General features: G+C 45.9%; 1 pseudogene, besides 3 other annotated features; it reads left to right on the top strand.

The window, feature by feature from the left end:
- Nucleotides 3,636-4,135: an enhancer, noted in NCBI's record as "H3K4me1 hESC enhancer chr7:6882447-6882946 (GRCh37/hg19 assembly coordinates)". NCBI's record gives its function as "activates a minimal SCP1, AML or CMV promoter by ChIP-STARR-seq in naive H9 embryonic stem cells {active_cell/tissue: H9 hESC(naive)}" and the evidence as "EXISTENCE:reporter gene assay evidence [ECO:0000049][PMID:30033119]".
- Nucleotides 4,136-4,637: an enhancer, noted in NCBI's record as "H3K4me1 hESC enhancer chr7:6881945-6882446 (GRCh37/hg19 assembly coordinates)". NCBI's record gives its function as "activates a minimal SCP1, AML or CMV promoter by ChIP-STARR-seq in naive H9 embryonic stem cells {active_cell/tissue: H9 hESC(naive)}" and the evidence as "EXISTENCE:reporter gene assay evidence [ECO:0000049][PMID:30033119]".
- Nucleotides 11,157-12,128, top strand: OR7E39P (olfactory receptor family 7 subfamily E member 39 pseudogene; annotated as a pseudogene).
- Nucleotides 19,439-19,733: an enhancer, noted in NCBI's record as "tiled region #9278; HepG2 Activating non-DNase unmatched - State 3:PromF, and K562 Activating DNase unmatched - State 9:DNaseU". NCBI's record gives its function as "activates a minimal TATA promoter and a strong SV40 promoter by Sharpr-MPRA in HepG2 and K562 cells {active_cell/tissue: HepG2 | K562}" and the evidence as "EXISTENCE:reporter gene assay evidence [ECO:0000049][PMID:27701403]".

Raw genomic sequence — 20,541 nt, 5'->3', positions numbered from 1 at the left:
CCCCCTGGAGATGATATTCGGATCAATATCACCGGGTGGGTGTACACCTACTGCGATATTGAACGTCATATCATGCTCTCTCCCTCCCTGGACATTAGGAACAACATCACAGGTGGGTGTACACCCACTGAGGTATTAGGGATAATATTCATATTAATTCTTCCTCTTTTATTAACATGAATATGTATTACCAATATTAATATTAATATTAAGAAATCATTGTTAAAAATAGTGTTCAGATTATTAATATTAATGTTAATTATTAGGAGCTAATATGACAGTTTTCTAATGAATAAGATCAATATCACTCTTTAAGACCATGCATCATTAATCATTAATATTCATTTATTGTTATCGTGAGTATAACTCTTTAATACGAATTATCATTATCGGTATTGATTTTCAGAATTATATGATCAGTTATTAATATTGATAATTATCAGTATCAATTAATAATTAAGATTATTAATTGCGGTAAGTAACATTGCGCCATTCCACCCCTCCCTCGGCAGCTCTTTTACGACCCAAAACGGGGATCCAAATGCCCCTGAGAGAGCAGCGGCATACTGGGAGAGAGGAGGATGGTCACGTGGTGGAGAGGCGTGTTTTTGTGTACCAGCCCTTCACCTCTGCCGACCTTCTCAACTGGGAAAACAATACCCCGTCCTAGAGCGAAAAGCCACAAGCCCTAATTGATTTCCTCCAAACGGTTATCCAGACCCACAACCCCACCTGGGCCGATCGCCACCGGTTGCTCATGTTCCTCTTTAAGAGAGATGAAAGGCAAAAGGCGGAGAGGGCTTCACGCAGCAACTAAGTGGCTAGAGGAACATGCACCAGCTGATTATCAAAACCCCCAAGAGTATGGAAGCACCCAGTTACCAGGAACCCACCCCCAGTTGGACCCACATGAAAGAGAGGAGATGCAAAGGCTAAACCGAGACAGGGAAGCTCTCTTGGAAGGATTCAAGAGGGGAGCTCAGAGGGCCACAAACGTTAACAAGGTCTCTGAGGTCATTCAGGGAAAAGTAGAAAGTCCAGCGCAATTCTACCAGAGACTGTGTGAGGCCTATGGTATGTATACTCCCCTTGATCACGATAACCCTGAAAATCAGCGCATGATTCACATGGCTTTAGTCCATCAAAGCGCGGAAGACGTTAGAAGAAAACTGCAGAAGCAGGCTGGGCTTGCAGGGATGAATACATCACATTGATGAGAAATAGCTAAGCAGGTGTTTGTAAACAGGGATGCAGTAAGCCGCGAGGGAAAGCCCAAAGAGAATGAAGGTCAGGCCCGGCGAAACGCCGACCTGTTTGTTAGCTGCAGCAATCAGAGCTGTCCCCCCAAAGAAGCAAGGGAAGGGGGGCCTTGGGAAAGAAACTCAGCTTGGGTGTCAGAGTTTGCAGCGTGACCAGTGTGCTTATTGTAAAGAAATAGGACAGTGGAAGAACAAATGCCCTCAGCTCAAAAGAAAAGAAGGTGACTCAGAGCAGGAGGCCCTGGACAAGGAGGAAGGGGCCCGGCTCAACCTGGCAGAAGGGTTATTGGACTGAGGGAGACCGGGCTCCAGTGTCCCCAAAGAGCCTCTGGTCAGAATGACAGTCGAGGGTAGAGACATTGATTTTCTTGTAGATAGCGGTGCTGAACATTCGCTAGTAACCACCCCGGTCGCCCCCTTATCCAGAAAGACTCTTGACCTCACTGGAGCCATGGGGGTTTCAGCAAAGCAAGCTTTCTACTTGCCTGGGATGTGCACTGTAGGAGGACATCAAGTGATTCATCAGTTTTTGTACATGCCTGACTGTCCCTTGCCCTTTTTGGGAAGGGACTAGCTTAGCAAGCTGAGAGCTGCTCTCTCTTTGACAGAACACAGCTCTTTGCTGCTAAAGTGACCCGCCACGGGAGTCATTATGACCCTTACGGTCCCCCGAGAGGAGGAATGGAGACTTTTCTGAACTGAGCCGGGCCAAGAGAAGACCAGCTCTGGCTAAGCGGTGGCCAAGAGTACAGGCAGAAGACAACCCTCCAGGGTTGGCCAGTTAAGACTGGGGCCCAGCCGCTTAAGCAAAAACAGGACCCGGTCCCCAGAGAAGCTCTTCAAGGTATCCAGGTCCATCTTAAGCACCTAAGAACTTTCGGAATGATAGTTCCCTGTCAGTCTCCATGGAATACTCCCCTCCTGCCTGTTCCCAAGCCATGGGCCTAGGACTACAGGCCGGGATAGGATTCGCGCTTGCTTAGTCAAGCTACCCTGACTTTCCATTCAACAGTACCTAGCCCGTCCACATTGTTGGGGTTGCTGCCAGCTGAGGACAGCTGGTTCACCTGCTTGGACCCGAGAGACGCTTTCTTTCCTATCAGATTAGCCCCTGAGAGCCAGAAGCTGTTTGCCTTTCAGTGGGAAGATCCGGAGTCAGGTGTCACTACTCAGTACACTTGGACCGGGCTTCCCCAAGGGTTCAAGAACTCCCCCACCATCTTCGGGGAGGCGTGGGCTCGAGACCTCCAGAAGTTTCCCACCAGAGACCTAGGCTGCGCGTTGCTCCGCTAGGTTGATGAGCTTTTGCTGGGACACCCCACGGCAGTCGGATGCGCCAAGGGAATGGATTGCCCTATGCCGACACCTGGAGGACTGTGGGTGTAAGCTGTCCAAGAAGAAAGCTCAGATCTGCCGACAGCAGGTACGTTCCTTGGGATTTACTATCCGACAGGGGGAATGCAGCCCGGGATCAGAAAGAAAGCAGGTCATTTGCAATCTAGCCCAGCCTAAGAGCAGAAGGCAGGTGAGAGAATTCTTAGGAGCTGTGGGGTTTTGTAGACTGCGGATCCCAAACTTTGCAGTATTAGCCAAGCTTTTGTATGAGGTCACCAAGGGGCAGGGGGGGGGGACTGGGAACATTTTGAATGGGGATCCCAACAACAGCAAGTCTTTCATGAGTTAAAGGAGAAACTTATGTCAGCCCCAGCCCTGGGGCTACCCGATCTGACAAAGCCTTTTACATCCTATGTGTCAGAGAGAGGGAAAAGATGGCAGCCGGACTTTGAACCCAAACTGTGGGGCCCTGGCCGAGGCCGGTGGCCTACCTCTCCAAACAACTAGACGGGGATTCTAAAGGATGGCCCCTGTGTTTGAGGGCCTTGGCAGCAACTGCTCTGCTAGTACAAGAAGCAAAGAAGCTGACTCTTGGGCAGAACCTGAACAGAAAGGCCCCCCATGCTGTGGTGACTTTAATGAATACTAAAGGACATCACTGGCTAACGAATGCCAGACTCACCAAGTACCAAAGTTTGCTCTGTGAAAATCCCCGTATAACCATTGAAGTTTGTAACACCCTACACCCCGCCACCTTGCTCCCGCTATCAGAGAGCCCTGTCGAGCATGACTGTGTAGAAGTGTTGGACTCAGTTGACCCTAGCAGACCTGACATCCGGGACCAGCCTTGGGCATCAGTAGACTGGGAACTATACGTGCATGGGAGCAGCTTGGTCAACACCCAAGGAAAGAGAGGTGCAGGGTATGCAGTGGTAACCCTGGACACTGTTGTTGAAGCCAGATCATTGCCCCAGGCCACTTCAGCCCAGAAAGCTGAACTCATTGCTTTCATTCGGGCCTTAGAGCTCAGTGAGGGTGAGACTGTCAACATTTACACTGATTCTCGGTATGCCTTTTTAACCCTTTAAGTGCATGGAGCATGCTAGAAAGAAAAGGGCCTATTGAACTCTGGGGGAAAAGGCAGAAAATATCAACCAGAAATCTTCCATGTATTAGAAGCAGTATGGAAACCCCACAAGGTGGCAGTTATGCATTGCAGGGGGCACCAGCGAGCTTCCACCTTGGTGGGCTTGGGGAATTCCCGCGCTGACTCAGAGGCTCGAAAAGCAGCATCTGCCCCTTTCCAGGCATCAGTCACAGCTCCTCTGCTCCCTCAAGCACCTGATCTTGGACCTGCTTATTCTAAAGGAGAAAAGGACTTTGTCCAGGTAGAGGGAAGGACAAGTGATGGAGGAAGGATGGATTTGGTTACCGGATGGGAGAGTAGCTGTGCCACAGCTGCCAGGAGCTGCAGTTGTACTGGCTGTGCAAGAAACCACCCATCTAGGTCAGGAGTCACTGCAAAAAGTTGTTAGGCTGGTATTTCTCCATCTCGCCTTTGTCAGCCCTTGCCAAAACGGTGAGGCAGCGATGTGTCAGCTGCCGACAGCATGATGCGAGGCCAGGTCCAGCTGTTCCACCCGGCATACAAGCTTATGGAGCAGCCCCCTTTGAAGATCTCCAGGTAGACTTCACAGAGATGCCAAAGTGTGGAGGTAACAAGTATTCACTAGTTCTTGGGCGTACCTACTCTGGGTGGGTGGAGGCTTATCTAACACGAACTGAGAAAGCTCGTGAAGTAACCCATGTGCTTCTTCGAGATCTGATTCGTAGATTGGGACAGCCCTTCCGGATTGGCTCAGATAACGGGCCTGCGGTTGTGGCTGACTTGCTACAGAAGACGGCAAAGGTATTGGGGATCACACGGAAAGTGCATGCCGCCTCCCGGCCTCAGAGTTCCAGAAAGGTGGAGAGGATGAATCGGACTATCAAAAATAATATTATTGTCTTCCCCACTGGATATGTAAAACAACACCACGAGGGGCATCAAACCACCTGCTACATTTGAGGGAATGTTATCCTCTCCCCCATCCCCCGGTCCCGGATATTAGAGGCAATAACACAGGGGTAATGTACACACACTGCTTTATTGGGATTAATGTCATCCTCTGCCTTCTTGGGTATTAGGAACAATATCACACTGTGCGTGTATGCCTGTCATGAAATTCAATGGAATGTCATCCTGTGCCTCCCTGGATATGATGAACAATATCACGGGGGATGTACAACTTCTGAGATATTGGGAGTGATCTCATCCTCTCCCCTCTGGAAGTTAGGGACAATATCACAGGGGTAGTGTACTCCTTCTGTGACGTTGGGACTAATATCATCCTCCCGCCCCCTGGATATTAAAAACCATGTCACAAGGGGCGTGTACACACACTTAGATATTGGTATGAATACTATCCTCTCCCTCTTTGGATATTTAATGCAATATTTCAGGTGGGGTATGCACCACCTGCAATATTGGAAGTTATGTTATTTTCTCCCCCACTGGATATTAGAAAGGATATCACAGTGGGGTGTGAACAACCCTTGCGATATTTGGAGTCATATCATCGTCTCCCCTCAAGAATATTAAGAACAATATCTTAGGGGTGGGGGTTGTATACACCCTTTCATATTCGATATCATCCTCTTCCCCCCTGGATATTAGGAACAATATCAGGAAGGGATGTACAGACCCTGCGACATTTGCTGTCATGTAATTGTCTCTCCCCTAGATATTAGGAAAAATGTCACCGGGGATGTGAACACCCCTGCGATATTGGGAGTAGTATCATCCTATCCCCCCTTGTATATTGGGAACAATATCACAGGCGGGGTGTACTGCCTCTGCGATATTGGGAGTACAATTATCCTCTCTTCCCCTGGATACTAGGAAGGGTATCAGAGGGGGAGGGTGTACATTCCCTGCGATATTCAATGTCACCTTATCCTCTCCCTCCCAGGGTATTCAGAACAATAGCACGGGAGGGGTGTACACACCCTGCGAAATTGAGAGTCATATCATCCTCTTTCGCTCTGGATATGAGGAACAATATCACAGGGTTGTGTACACCCCCTGCGATATTGGGAGTCATATCATCCTCTCTCCCTGTGGATATTAGGAAGAGTATCACTGGGCTGTGGAAACCCCCTGCGGTACTGGGAGTAATATCATCCTCTCTCCCTCTGGATATGAGGAAGATTTTCACAGGGGTGTGTACACCCCCTGCGATATTGGGAGTAAGATCATCCTCTCCACCCAGGAAATGACTAACAAGGTCATGGGGGGGACTCCCCCTGCGATATTGGGAGTCATGTCATCCTCCCCAAACCTGGATGTTACCAACGAGATCACAGAGGGGGTGTACACACCCTGCGATATTGGAAGTAATATGATCCTCTCCGCACCTGGATATGGGGAAAGATATCACAGCGCGGGTGTACATTTCCTACGCTGTTGGTAATAATATCATTCTTTTCCTTTCTGGATATTAGGAAGAATATCACAGGGGTGCTGCACAATTATTTCCATATTGGGAGTACTATCATCCTCTATTTTCCAGGATATTGGGCCCAATAACACAAAAAGGTATACAAGCCCTGCGATATTGGGAGTAATATCATACTCTCCTTCCCTGGATGTTAGAAAACAATATCATCAGGGCTGAACACCCCCTGCGATAATGGGAGTAATATTGACTCTTTCACAGGCCATTTGGAACAATATCAAAGGGGGTGTCTACAAACAGGTGTGTTGTACACCCCCTGGGATATTGGGAGTAACATCATTCTCTCCACCTCCGGATATTAAGAACAATATCCCGGCGGGAGGTGGTACACCCCCAGTGCTATTGGGAATAATGTCATCCTCTCCTTCCCTGGATACTAGGAACAATATCACAAGGGGGTGTATACCTTCCATGATATTAGAAGCAATATCATCCTCTCCCCCGCTGGATATTAGAAAAAAAAATCACTCACGGTGTACACCCACTGTGATATCAGGAAGAATATTACAGGGTGTACACCCACTCTGACTTTAGGAGAAATAGCTCCCTCAAATGTCACAAAGAATACCACAGGGTATACAGTGATACGTCGCTAGGATATTACAAATACTATCACAGGGTGTACACCCACTGTGATAACAGGAGTAATACATCCCAAGGATACTACCAGGAATATCACAAGGCTGTACACCCACTATGACATAAGAAGTGATATCTCCCTAGGATATTACGAATAACATCACAGAATGTACACCTATGGTGTGCGCCCATGGTGATATTAGGTGTCATATCAACCCAGGACATAACCAATAAGACCACAGGGAGTACATACATGATGTACACCCACAGTGATGTTATAAGAACTATCTCCCTAGGATAATACGATTAACATCACAGAGTGGACACACATGGTATACACCCACTGTGGCACTAGGACTAATAACTTTCTCAGATATTACCAATAGCATCACAGAATAGAAACACACGGTTTACACCCACTGTAACACTAGGTGTAATTTCTCCCTAGGATGTTACGAGTAACATCTCAGTGCGTACACACATGCTGTACACCCACTGTGACATTAAGGGTAATATCCCCATTGGATATTACCAATAACATCACAGGGTGTCCACCCATGCTGTACACGCACTGTGATGTTAGGGATAATATCTCCCTGGGATATGATGAATAATACCACAGGGTGTACAGAAACTGTGATATTAGAGGTAATATCTCTCTAGGATATTATGAATCATATCACAGGGTGTACACCCACTGTGATACTGGGAGCAATATCTCTCTAGGATAGTACAAATAATATCACAGAGTGTACACCCACTGTGATATCAGGAGAAATCTCTCTCTGGGATAATATGAATTAGATCACAGAGTGTACACACATGGTGTACATCCACTTTGATATTAGGAGTCATATCTTCCTAGGACATTACAAATAACCTCACAGAGTGTACACCCACTGTAATATTAGGAATCGTATCACCCTAGGGGATCACCAATAATATCACAGCGTGTACACCCATTGTGATATTAGGAGTAATATCTTCCTAAGGTATTACGAATAATTTCACTGTCTGTACACACATGGTGTACACACACTGTGATATTAGGAGTAATATCTACCTAGTAGATAACAAATAACATCACAGGGTGTTCACCCACTTCGATATTAGCGGTAATATTTTTCTAAGTTGTTACAAATAAGATCACAGGGTGTACAAACATGGTGTACACTCACTGTGATATCAGGAGTCGTATCTCCATAATATATTATGAATAATATCACAGCGTGTACACCCACTGTATTATTAGGAGTAATATCTCTGTAGGATATTACAATTAAGATCACAGGGTGTACAGCCACTGTGATATTAGGGGCAATATCTTTCTAGGATATTACAAATAATATCACAGGGTGTACGCCCACTCTGCTGTCAGGAGCAGTATCTCCCTAGGATATCAAAAATCCTATCACAGGGTGTCCAATCCCTGCCTTCCAGGTTCTAAGGGATTCTCCTGCTTCAGCCTCCCGAGTAGCTAGGGTTAGCCGCCACCACGCCCGGCTAATATTTTTATATTTTCACTGGAGACGGGGTTTCACCACGTTGGCCAGGCTGGTCTGGAACTCCTGACCTCAGGTGATCCATCAGCCTCGGCCGCCCAAAGTGCTGGGATTACAGGGGTGCACCATGGCGCTCGGCCGAGAGTTATAGATTCAATTCATTTGGAAACACAGCTCCCATATTTGAGTGTGCATGTACTTTTATGAAGAAATGATGTCAGAAAACCTAAGGATGATAATAAATACGAAAAGTAAGTGGCATGTGAAAAGGTCTTCCGATGAAGAACTCTAAGTTTCGATTTCATTTTTAGATAATGCGGTCCTAGCTCTTGTATCGTCCTTTTACGTATTCTACATCAAAGGAATTTGTAGCACGGTGTCAGAATAAAATAGAGTGTATTTCACGGCTTCTTAATTTCTTTCAATTAGACTGAGATCTTTCTCTTCAAGAGAGAAGAACATTTTCATTGCATTCTATTTTTTCTGAAAAGAGCAGGCCGTATTTTACTGAGATCATGGATTTCTTATATATGACGTTTTGGTCTTCTAATATTCTTCAGTGGATTTTCTCTAAAGTAGTATGTACAGAAAGCCTTGTATAGCAAAAAAGTAAATCACGTAATAATTCTGAGATTTTTGGAATTGACACAACTGAGAAACACTGCTGGCGGTGTATGGTCAGCAAGTGTGAAGATGTTCCTTGTGAATTGCTTGTGAATGCTCCTCAGATGTGCCTGTGGTTAAGACCTCTGAGCTCTGTTGAAAACTTTTGGAAGCTGGGCGCTGTGGCTCACGCCTGTAATCCCAGCACTCTGGGAGGCTGAGGCAGGTGAATCACAAGGTCAGGTGTTGGAGACCAGCCTGGACAACATGGTGAAACCCCGTCTCTACTAAAAATAGAAAACAATGAGCCTGGTGTAGTGGTGGGCGCCTGTCATCTCAGCTACTCAGCAGGCTGAGGCAGGAGAATAGCTTGAACCTGGGATGCGGAGGTTGCAGTGAGCCGAGATCACTCCACTGCACTCCAGCCTGGACAACGGAATGAGACTCCGTCTCAAAAAAGCAAAAACAAAACCAAAACCAAAACCACAACTTTTTGAAAGTTGGAAGACCATGAAGTATAGTACCCGGGACTTAGAGTCTGGCCATGAATTTGGAATACCACCTTTTCTACTCCTCTGTATGGCAAGGGGTGAGAGGCCCATCCTCTGAGACTCAGCACTCTCATCTGAGCTGATTTCTAGTTGATCCAATGGAAGTGAGCGATGATGAAACCGATCGTGGGTGCCCGCTGCGTGATCTCTATGTGATGGATGCGTAAAGTCAAGGCAAAGTGAATTTTAGGTACATCCGTGAATATTTTCAGCTTCAACTCCATACAATTCAACGGAAATATCCCCTGACCTGAAGTTCTGGTTTCTCTGCATTCCAGACAGGACATTTACTTTTGTCCTTATCTCAGTAAGTACTGAGTATTGTGAGAGGAACAAGTGAGTATCTTTTGTTTCTGATGCCCCAGAGCCGATATCTTGCTTGGCACATAGGAGACAGCAAAAGTCAACATCTATGTGAATTATTGAATTGATACTTCCTTGGTTCACAAAAATTGGCTGTCATCAGTGTGACTTCGACTTACTTGATTCTTTTGGTTTTTTGTTTTTTGAGACGGAGTTTTGCTCCTGTTGCCCAGGCTGGAGGCAGTGGTGTGACCTCGGCTCACCGTAGCCTCTGCCTCCCAGGTTCAAGCCATTCTCCCGCCTCAGCCTCCCGAGTAGCTGGGACTACAGGCCCGCGCCGCCATACCGGGCGAAGTTTTTGTATTTTTAGTAGAGGCGGGGTTTCACCATGTTGGCCAGGATGGTCTTGATCTCCTGACCCCGTGATCCACCCTCCTCGGCCTCCCAAAGTGCTGGGATTACAGGAGTGAGCCACTGCGTCCGGCCAAACTTTCTGATGAAAATTCTAAGTCCACCTAAGCTAAGGACAGGAGTTAGAGCTTACGTGAATTTTCAAAGAAGACCCACCGATTTGAGGAAGCAATTACTCTCTTGAAGGAGAAAAGTCAGAACACATAATGATGAAATCACTAGGACCTAACCGGCATGTGGAACTATTTTCTGCTTATGAACTATCAACTTTCATTTCATTTCCAGATGACATGGTCTCAGCTGTTTTTTTTATTTTTTTATTTTTTTTTTTTTGAGACGGAGTTTCGCTCTTGTAGCCCAGGCTGGAGTGCAATGGCTTGATCTCGGCTCACCGCAACCTCCGCCTCCCAGGTTCAAGCAATTCTCCTGCCTCAGCCTCCCGAGTAGCTGAGATTATAGGCATGCACCACTACGCCTGGCTAATTTTGTGTTTTTAGTAGAGACAGGGTTTCCCCATGTTGAGGCTGGTCTCGAACTCCTGACCTCAGGTGAGCCACCCGCCTCAGCCTCCCAGAGTGCTGGGATTACAGGCATGAGCCACTGCGCCTGGCCCGGTCTCAGCTGTTCTACAGTGTTTATAAATGTTCTAAATCAAGGGAATTTGTATCCATCTAGTAGTATGAAATAAAATATTTGAGTTCTTAGTTTCCTTTAATTAGGATAACTTTTTTCTTAAAGTGAAGAGAATGGTTTTATTACATATTTTCCTTCAGACAAGATAGGCTGTATTTTCTAGCAATTATGAATTTGTTATATATGATGATCTGGTTCTTGGAACATTCTTGAATCTATTGTCTCTAAGGCAGGTGTGTACAGCAAGAAGTGAATAACACAGAAATCAATGATGAAAGCACTAGAAGACAATTGAGTTTATCAGAACTGCAAAATATTGCTGAGTGTGGATTGCTCTGAAATCTGAAAACATGACTTGTGAATTGCTTCTATTCAAAATGCAGACACAATCAATGCCGGGTGTTGGTTTACTTGTTTCCCATTTTGCAACCCTCTTTTCTAGGCAAAAGGTATCCAAACTATGCAGAGCCACAGAATCTAACAGATGTCTCTCTATTCCTTCTCCTAGAACTCTCAGGGGATCCAGAACTGCAGCTGGTCCTCGCTGGGCTGTTCCTGTCCATCTGCCTGGTCATGGTGCTGGGGAACCTGCTCATCATCCTGGCCATCAGCCCTGACTCCCACCTCCACACCCCCGTGTACTTCTTCCTCTCCAACCTGTCCTTGCCTGACATCAGTTTCACCTCCACCACAGTCCCCAAGATGATTGTGGACATCCAATCTCACAGCAGAGTCATCTCCTATGCAGGCTGCCTGACTCAGATGTCTCTCTTTGTCATTTTTGGAGGCATGGAAGAGAGGCATGCTCCTGAGTGTGATGGCCTATGACTGGTTTGTAGCCATCTGTCACCCTCTATATCATTCAGCCATCATGAACCCGTGTTTCTGTGGCTTCCTAGTTTTGTTGTCTTTTTTTTTCTCAGTCTTTTAGATGCCCAGCTGCACAACTTGATTGCCTTACAAGTGACCTGCTTCAAGGATGTGGAAATTCCTAATTTCTTCTGTGACCCTTCTCAACTCCCCCATCTTGCATGTTGTGACACCTTCACCATTAACATAATCATGTATTTCCCTGCCGCCATATTTGGTTTTCTTCCCATCTCGGGGACCCTTTTCTCTTACTCTAAAATTGTTTCCTCCATTCTGAGGGTTTCATCGTCAGGTGGGAGGTATAAAGCCCTCTCCACCTGTGGGTCTCACCTGTCAGTTGTTTGCTGAGTTTATGGAACAGGCGTTGGAGGGTACCTCAGTTCGGATGTGTCATTTTCCCCCAGAAAGGGTGCAGTGGCCTCAGTGATGTACGCGGTTGTCACCCCCATGCTGAACCCCTTCGTCTACAGCCTGAGAAACAGGGATGTTAAAGGTGTCCTGCGGCGGCCACACGGCAGCACAGTCTAATCTCAATATCTTCTTATCTGTTCCATTCCTTTTGTAGTGTGGGTTCAAAAAGGCAGCAAGGTCAAATAAGAATGATATCACAGGGTGAACACCCACTGTGACATTACGAGTAATACCTCCCTAGGATATAAAAAATACCGTCACAGAGTACACACACAAGGGGTACACCCGCTGTGACACTAGAAGCAATATCTCCCTAAAGTAGGATGAAAAATATCACAGGGTGTGCACACTGTGTGATATGAGGAGTAATCTTTACCCTGGATATTACGACTAATATCAAGGGTGTACACACCCGGGGTACACGCACTGTGATATCAGGAGTCGTATCTCCCTAGGATATTACGAGTCATATCACGGGGTATGCACCATGTGTGTACATCCATGGTGATAGTTGAAGTAATATCTCTCTATGTGATTACAAGTAATATCAAAGGGTGTACAACCCTGTGACATATTGGGAGTAACATCCTTCTAGGGTATTACAGATAACATCACAAGGTGAACACCTTCTGTGACATTTTGTGCACCCTTTGTGACATTAAAAGAAACATCCCCCTAGGATATTATGAATAATGAGACAGGCGGTATACACACATGGTGTACACCACCTGTGCCATCAGGAATAAAATTCCCCTAAGATATTATGAATAGTATCACAGCAGGTGTACACACATGTTGTACACCCCATGTGACATTAGGAGGAACATGCCCCTAGGATATTAGGAATAGTATCACAGGCATTGAATAGGCACGATACACACCCCCGGTGACATTAAAAGTAACATCCCCCTAGGATATGATGAATAATATCACAGGGAGTACACCCCGTGTGACATTAGGAGTGACATCCCCCGAGGATATAGCGAATAATATCAGAGGGTGTAGAAGCATTGTGACCTTAGTAGTAACATCTCTTTAGGATATGACAAATCATATCACAGGTTGTACACGCATTGTGACATTGGTAGTAACATCCCACTAGGATATGATGAGTAATATCACAGGCTGTACACCCCCTGTGACAATAGTAGTAACATTCCCCTAGAACATGACAAATAATATCGCAGGAGGTACAGCCCCTGTGATTTATGAGTAACATTTCTATAGAATATTACAGGTCATAGCACTGTGTGACTCTGTGTACACCCCGTGTGACATTAGGAGTAACATCCCACAAAACTATTACGAGTAATATCACGGGGCGAACACCCCCTGTGAAGTGAGGAATAACATAGTTTTAGGATATTATGAGTGATATGACAAGGTGTACACACCCTGTGATGTTAGGAGCAATATCCGTCTAGGATGTTAGGAATAATATCACAGGGAACACACCCCCTGTGACATTAGGATATTATGAATAATATCACAAGGTGTACATGCATTGTGACATTAGTACTAATATCCCTCTGGCATACTATGAATAATATCACAGGGTGTACATCTCTGTGACATTAGGAGTAATGTCCCCCTAGAATAGGACGAATAATATCACGGGGTACACACCCTGTGACTTTAGGAGTATCACCGCCCTGGAATATGAGGATTACTGTCCCAGGGTATTAACCCCCTGTGACCTGAGGAGTAACATCCCACTGGACTATTATGAATAATGTCACAGTGTGTACACCAACTGTGAGAAATAAAATAAAATGCAGCATGGTAACTAGAGAAAATGAAGGAAAAAAATTAAAATTAAAATTTTCAAAAGACCAGTCTGGACAACCTAGGGAGACCGTGTCTCTACAAAAAAAACTTAAAAATTAGCTGGGTGTGTTAGGATGTACCTGTGGTCCCAGCTACTTGGGAGGCTGAGGTGGGAGGATCCCTTGATCCTGGAAGTTGAGGCCACAGTGAGCCATGATCATGCCATACACTCCAATCTGAAAATACTTTTTTGTAAATGCTACTAATTAGTAAATACTTTAGTAATTTGTAAATACTTTAGTATTTTAAAAATACTAAGTATTTTAATATTTAGCACTACTACATAATTGCACAAAATCTGTAATTAATTAGTATTTTATAATAGTTATTTGCTAAGTACTGCTACTCAGTAAATATGTTAGCATTTTGTAAGTAGTCATTTGCTAAGTACTGCTACACAGTAAATACTTTCATTTTATGTAAGTAGCCATTTGCTAAGTATGGCTATTAAGTAAATGTTTTAGTATTCTGTAGGTAGTCATTTGCTAAGTACTGATACTCAGTAAATGCTTTAGTATTTTCTAAGTAGTTATTTACTAAGTAGCAGTACTTAGTAAAGACTTAGTAGCAGTATTTACAAAGTAATTCTTTCTAGCTCATAAGCAAAGGATAGCAAAACAGTGATGATAGGAAATACTTGCCTATTTGTATAGGTTTCCAAGCTATGTAGTTAATTCTCTGTCATGACTGCAGTTTAAGTTTATGGAATGGGTACTCAGGAATCCAATTGCAAGCAAAAACCTATCTTCTATCTCTTCTGCTCATGTTAAGGTATGAGGTTACTTTGCAAACACTTAAGAAGAGAGATGAAATTGGAATCACCAGGACGGTTTCCACATGGCCTGTTAATTTATTCACTGGAAAGACTTCATTTGCATACGTTTTCACGGGTTTGAAAAAGTCAACTTGTTTTTGGCGGGGGGTATAGATTTTGACATTGTTTTCCTAGGGGCTCTACAATGACTGTAAATCTATTCACCTTAAATTGTTATGTTTTTGAGACAGGGTCTCGGTGTGTTGCCCAGGCTGGCATACAGGGGAGCAATCATGGCTCACTGCAGCCTCCACCTCCCCAGGCTCAGGTGATCCTCCCACCTCAGCCTCCTGAGTAGCTTGGACTACAGGTGCGTGCCACCAAGCCCAGCTAAGTTTTTTTCATTTCTTTCTTCTTTTTTCTTTTTTTTGTAGAGATGGGGTCTCACTATGTCGCCCAGGCTGGTTTCCAACCCCCGGGCTCAAGCGACTTGCCTGCCTTAGCCTCCCAAAGTGCTAAGATTACGGGTGTAAGTCACTGCACCTGTCCCTTAAATTATTTTTAAATCATAAAGTATTTCAAACATTAGGAGAATACTGAGCAAAATAATACCTGTGCACCTGCCACCACACTTTATCAAATCGTGGTATTACTTGCATGATGGCTTTTTCTTACAAGTTTGAGACCAGCCTGGCCAACATGGAGAAACCCTATCTCTACCAAAAATGCAAAGAATGAGCTGGGCATGGTGATGCACACCTGTGATCTTAGCCACTCAGGAGGCTGAGGCAGGAGGATCACTTGAGCTTGGGAGGCAGAGGTTGCAGTGAGCCAAGATCGCACCACCGCACCCCAGCCTGGGCGATAGAGTGAGAACCTGTCTCAAAAAAACAAACAAACAAACAAACCAAAAAACCAGATTTTTTGAAGCTCCTTCACAAGTGATCTCAGGAGGAAACGGAAGTCAAGGACAATTTTAACTGCAGGAGAAAGATGTACCCTCACAGTAAAGGTGACCTCTGACTGACACAGTGTCTCTGGGCTCTAAATCCACTAAGATTGGTTACTCCATTCACTGGTCTGATATTTCTGCCAACAGAATAGGATGAAGAGGCCCTTTGTCTTAGAGGTGTACATTGCACCCAAACCTTTACCCTGCAGCTGCTTCTTAGAGCTCAGTGCTGAGCGGAGCAGAGAACTCACCTGAATGTCAGATCAGCCTGTGGACTGAGCTCCATTCATAGGATAAGCAGTAGCTGAGCTCTGAAGGATGAAAGCCCATCTCTGACGTCTGTTGCCCACTCCTCCCCATCCCCTGCCTCCTCCATTCATTCATTCAACACAGATTTACCGTGTCCTGTGACGCAGGCACTGTGTTAGACAACAGGAACCAGAAGATGGCCCCAACAGAGTCCTGGCCTCAAGAAGTTCACTTTCCTTGATAGGAAGGAGGGCATGGTGGCCCGTGCCTGTAGGACCAGCTATATAGGAGGCAGAGGCAGGAGGATCGCTTGAGCCCAGGAGTTAGGGGCTGCAGTGAGCTATGACCATACCACTGCACTATAAACTGGGCAACAGAGCAAGACTGTCTCAAACCTATATATATATATATATATGTGTGTGTGTGTGTGTGTGTGTGTGTGTCTGTGGTGTGTGTATATATATACACACACGCATATATATATATATATATATATATATATAACCTTGATAGGGAGGAGACAGACATATGTGACAACCTATGTCCAGAACCACCTAGCCTGGAACTGGGACTTTTTTTTTCTTTTTTTTTTTTTGTAGACAGAGTCTCACTTTGTAGCCCAGTCTGGAGTGCAGTGGCACAATCTCAGCTCACTGCAAATTCCAACTCCCAGGTTCAAGTGATTCTCGTGCCTCTGCCTCCCAAGAAGCTGGGATTACAGGGGCTTGCCACCACACTAGGCTAATTTTTGTATTTTTTTTTTAGTAGAGACGCAGTTTCACCATGTTGGCCAGGCTGGTCTCAATCTCCTGACCTTAAGTGATCTGCCCACCTTGGCCTCCTAAATTGCTGGGATTACCGACATGAGTCACTGCACCCGGTTGGAACTGTCACTTTCTACTTGGAACTGAGCTCCCTTTCCAACACCAAAATGTGTCTTTCCCACAGCTCATTCCTTTGGAATTTGAGTTCGCAAATTCTTTGCGCAAAACATCTAACTTCTATTTCTGTAACTGAACTTGATTTGAATTCCCATTGTGCTGGGTGTCAGAATCTTAATCATGTCAGGTAATTAAGCAACCTCTTCTCCCTTCTTACCATAGGCTAGGGGAGAGAGTCGAGGCCCCAGATGGGACTGGAGTATTCTCAGTCCGAATAGTGAACACAGAGTCATCCTCAATCCTCTCTACTCTCGTGGTCTTGAGGGGCCACTGCTACCTCCTCCTGGTCCTGACCTTGAGGCTTCTCAGCACTGGCTTTCTCTGAATTCCTTCTGTGCACAAGTAAGTCATTCAGCTTCTTCCTGAACAATAAGGATTTCTCATCCAGATACCCCTGTTCCGTGGTTACTCTACTGTTACCAAACCATGCTTGACCCAGAGGGGAACTCTGCAAAGCTCACCACCTCCCCCAGCTTCCCCAGGGAGAAAGACACACACACCCTCTCCTCTGAGACCTCCAAACCTATGTGGGTATCTGTCGTCACTACCACTCCTGCCTGGTACCCGTGCACACCCAAGGACTGTGTTTGGAGAGGCAGATGCATTGAGGTCTAAGCGTTCTTGCATCCTTAACTTTGAAACCATAAAAGCATGTTCTTTTCTTTGATCTCTGGATGTTTCATTTTGTTTTTTGTCATCTCCCTCTTTCGATGCCTCCTGCAATGAATTGTATGTGGGAGGAAGGGAGAGGCAAACATGTACAAGGACACAGAGGTATCCTGGGAGAAACTGTGACTCATACTATAAAATATTAATCTCACTCACTTATATAGCACCTTGTACTTTATATTAATTAATTAATTAATTTATTTATTTATTTATTTATTTACTGAGGCAGAGTCTCACTCTGTCACCCAGGCTGGAGTGCAGTGGCACAATCTCAGCTCACTGCAACCTCCGCCTCCCGGGTTCAAGCAATTCTCCTGCCTCGGTCTCCCGAGTAGCTGGGACTATAGGCACCTGCCACCACGCATGGCTATTTATTTTTATTTTTTAGTAGAGACAGTGTTTCACCATGTTGGCCCTCAAACTCCTGACCTCAAGTGATCTGCCATCCTCGGCCTCCCAAAGTGCTGGGATTACAGGCATGAGCCACCACACCCAGCCAAAACATGTATTTCTCATGGAATAACTGCATGCACTAGAGCAAGCTAATTGGGAAAGTCAACAGTTTATGAAATAATGATGAGTTGCTGGCACCTGATGCACATTCATAGTCCCATTTAACTCTTCAAGTGAAACTCTCACTTGGCAGGAATTTACTATTAGCCATTTTCCAAATAAGAGATACAGACGAGAGAGTCTCTATCTCTTCTTTGGTGCAAGGAGATTGGTGCAGTCGGTGAATGGCAAAAGTGGATATGTACCCAGATCTGTCTCCAGTCCAAATTCCAACTCATCACTTCCCTTATCTGCCAGGCTGGATAAGGGAAGTGGTTCTGCTTCCAAACTTAATATGTGACAGATAAGGCAATCTAAACCAAAGTCTTCTTGAGTTTGGTCAAACCATATGCTGCCAAGGCTTGAATCCACATAACTGTAACAAGCCATCCCAACTATGCCACAACCCACACAACTCAAAGGCAAGGGAATCCCAGGCGACAAGGTCCAGGAACAGCCACTCTGGGGAGTCTGCCACCTCTGATATTGCTCCCGTGGCACACATGGTGCCCCATCTGCCTCCAGACCTGCGCTGAAGGAATGGGGGGAAGGGGCAAGCTTTGTAGGTGTGGGTGATCCAGTGGTCACTTGAGGTCTCTCAAACAAGGACTCTGTAGATGATGTTAATGGGCCAAACGGAATGCACATCTGCCCCTAAGTGTGTTTCTTTTCTTTCTTTTCTTCTTTCTTTCTTTTTTTTTTTTTTTTTTTTTTGTTGAGACAGGGTCTTGCTCTGTTGCCCAGGCTGGAGTGTAGTGGTGCAATCTTGGCTCACTGCAACCTCCACCTACTGGGTTCAAGTAATTCTTCTGCCTCAAGCCTCCCAAGTAGCTGGAACCACAGGCATGTGCCACCACTCCTGGCTAGTTTTTTTATTTTAGTAGAGACGGGGCTGGTCTGGAACTCTGGGCCTCAAGTGATCCACCCACCTTGGCCTCCCAAAGTGCTGGGATTACAGCTATGAGCCACCGTGGCCAGCCTTGTTTATTTCTAAATGAGGCTTCCTTTGTGTCTCTACATTTCCTTCTACAAAAAAAACTGCCATGGCACAGGGGCTTATGCCTACAATCCCAGCACTTGGAGAGCCCAAGGCCAGTGGATCACTTGAGCCCAGGAGTTCGAGACCAGCCTGGGTTAACATAGTGAGACCCCAGCTCTACGAAAAATTTAAAAATTAGCCAGCCATGGTGGCATGCACCTGTGGTCCCAGCTATTCGGGAGGCTGAGGTGGGAGGATCACTTGAGCCCCGGAGTTCCAGGCTGCAGTGAGGTCTGATCTGGCCACTGCACTCCAGCCTGGGCAACAGAGCAAAGTGCTGTCTTAGAATAAAATACTTTTTAAATAAACTAAAAACAAAACAATGGGCCTGGTGTGGGTGGCTCACATCTGTAATCCCAGCACTTTCGGAGGGCAGGTGAGGCAGAATAGGGAATGAGGGTAACCAAGGGTTAAGGCATAAACAAAAGAACAGCAGGTGCAGCCAGTTCTAGGCAAGATTAGGCAGCATAGAGGCCACGTGTTCATTCCCTCAATCAGAGGCTGATTGACGGACGACAGGGGGTTGGCCGGGGGGGAGGGTGACAGCTTCTGATTGACGGGGGGGCGGGTGCGCGTCTCCACTTCAGCCTCTGATTGGTCACAGGCCAATCCTTCAGAGGGTGTAACCAATCGGAGACCTCTAACGGGCACCTAGGGGCGTTACCTAATTCTTCCAGCTTAATGAAAATCCTAATGGGGGCTCTTGAGCTGTTTGCTCTGTCTTGCTCCTGCTCTGTGAGTTGTACTTTCGCTTCAATAAATCTGTCTATTCCTTACTCCGGTTTTTTCTTTTGTTTCTTTTCGTTGCTTTGTTCTTTTGTTACTTTGTGCATTGCATTTTGTTCAGTTCTGTGTTCAACAAGCCAAGAACCTGGGCAATCCACGGTCAAGACCTTCCATCCAGTAGCAGAGGCAGGAGGATCCCTTGATGCCAAGAGTTAGAGAGCAGCCGGGGCAACAAAGTGAGACCCTGTCTCTACTATCTATCTATCTATTTTTTAATTATCTGGGCATGGTAGTGCATGCCTGTGGTCTCAGCTACTCCTCAGGCTGAGGTGGGAAGATCCCTTGAGCCCAGGAGTTGAGGCTGCAGTGAGCTATGATGGCACCACTGCACTCCAACCTGGGTGACAAAGCGAGATCTTGTCTCTAAATTAAATTTAAAACAATACCACCAAAACAACAACAGGCTGGGCGGTGGTGTCTCACGCCTGTAATCGGAGCACTTTGGGAGGCCGAAGTGGGAGACCATTTGAGGCCAGGAGTTCGAGAGCAGCCTGGGCAACACAGACCCCACCTCTACAAAAAAATAAAACTGGCCTTGGTGGCGCGCGCCTGTAATCCTAGCTACTTGGGAGGCTGAGGCAGGGGGATTGCTTGAGTGTCGGACGTTGAGGCTGCAGTGAGCTGAGATCGCGCCACTACACTCCAGCCTGGATGACAAACTGAGACCCTATCAGAAAAAACAACAACAACAAAAAAACAGTGCCCGCTCGGTTTTTCCTGAAACGCGCAGCCCTCGCCTGTAGCCAGGAGAAAACTCC

Source organism: Homo sapiens, chromosome 7 (assembly GCF_000001405.40).
Source record: "Homo sapiens chromosome 7, GRCh38.p14 Primary Assembly".
Lineage (NCBI taxonomy): Eukaryota > Metazoa > Chordata > Mammalia > Primates > Hominidae > Homo > Homo sapiens.
This window is presented reverse-complemented; position numbering and strand designations above follow the sequence as displayed.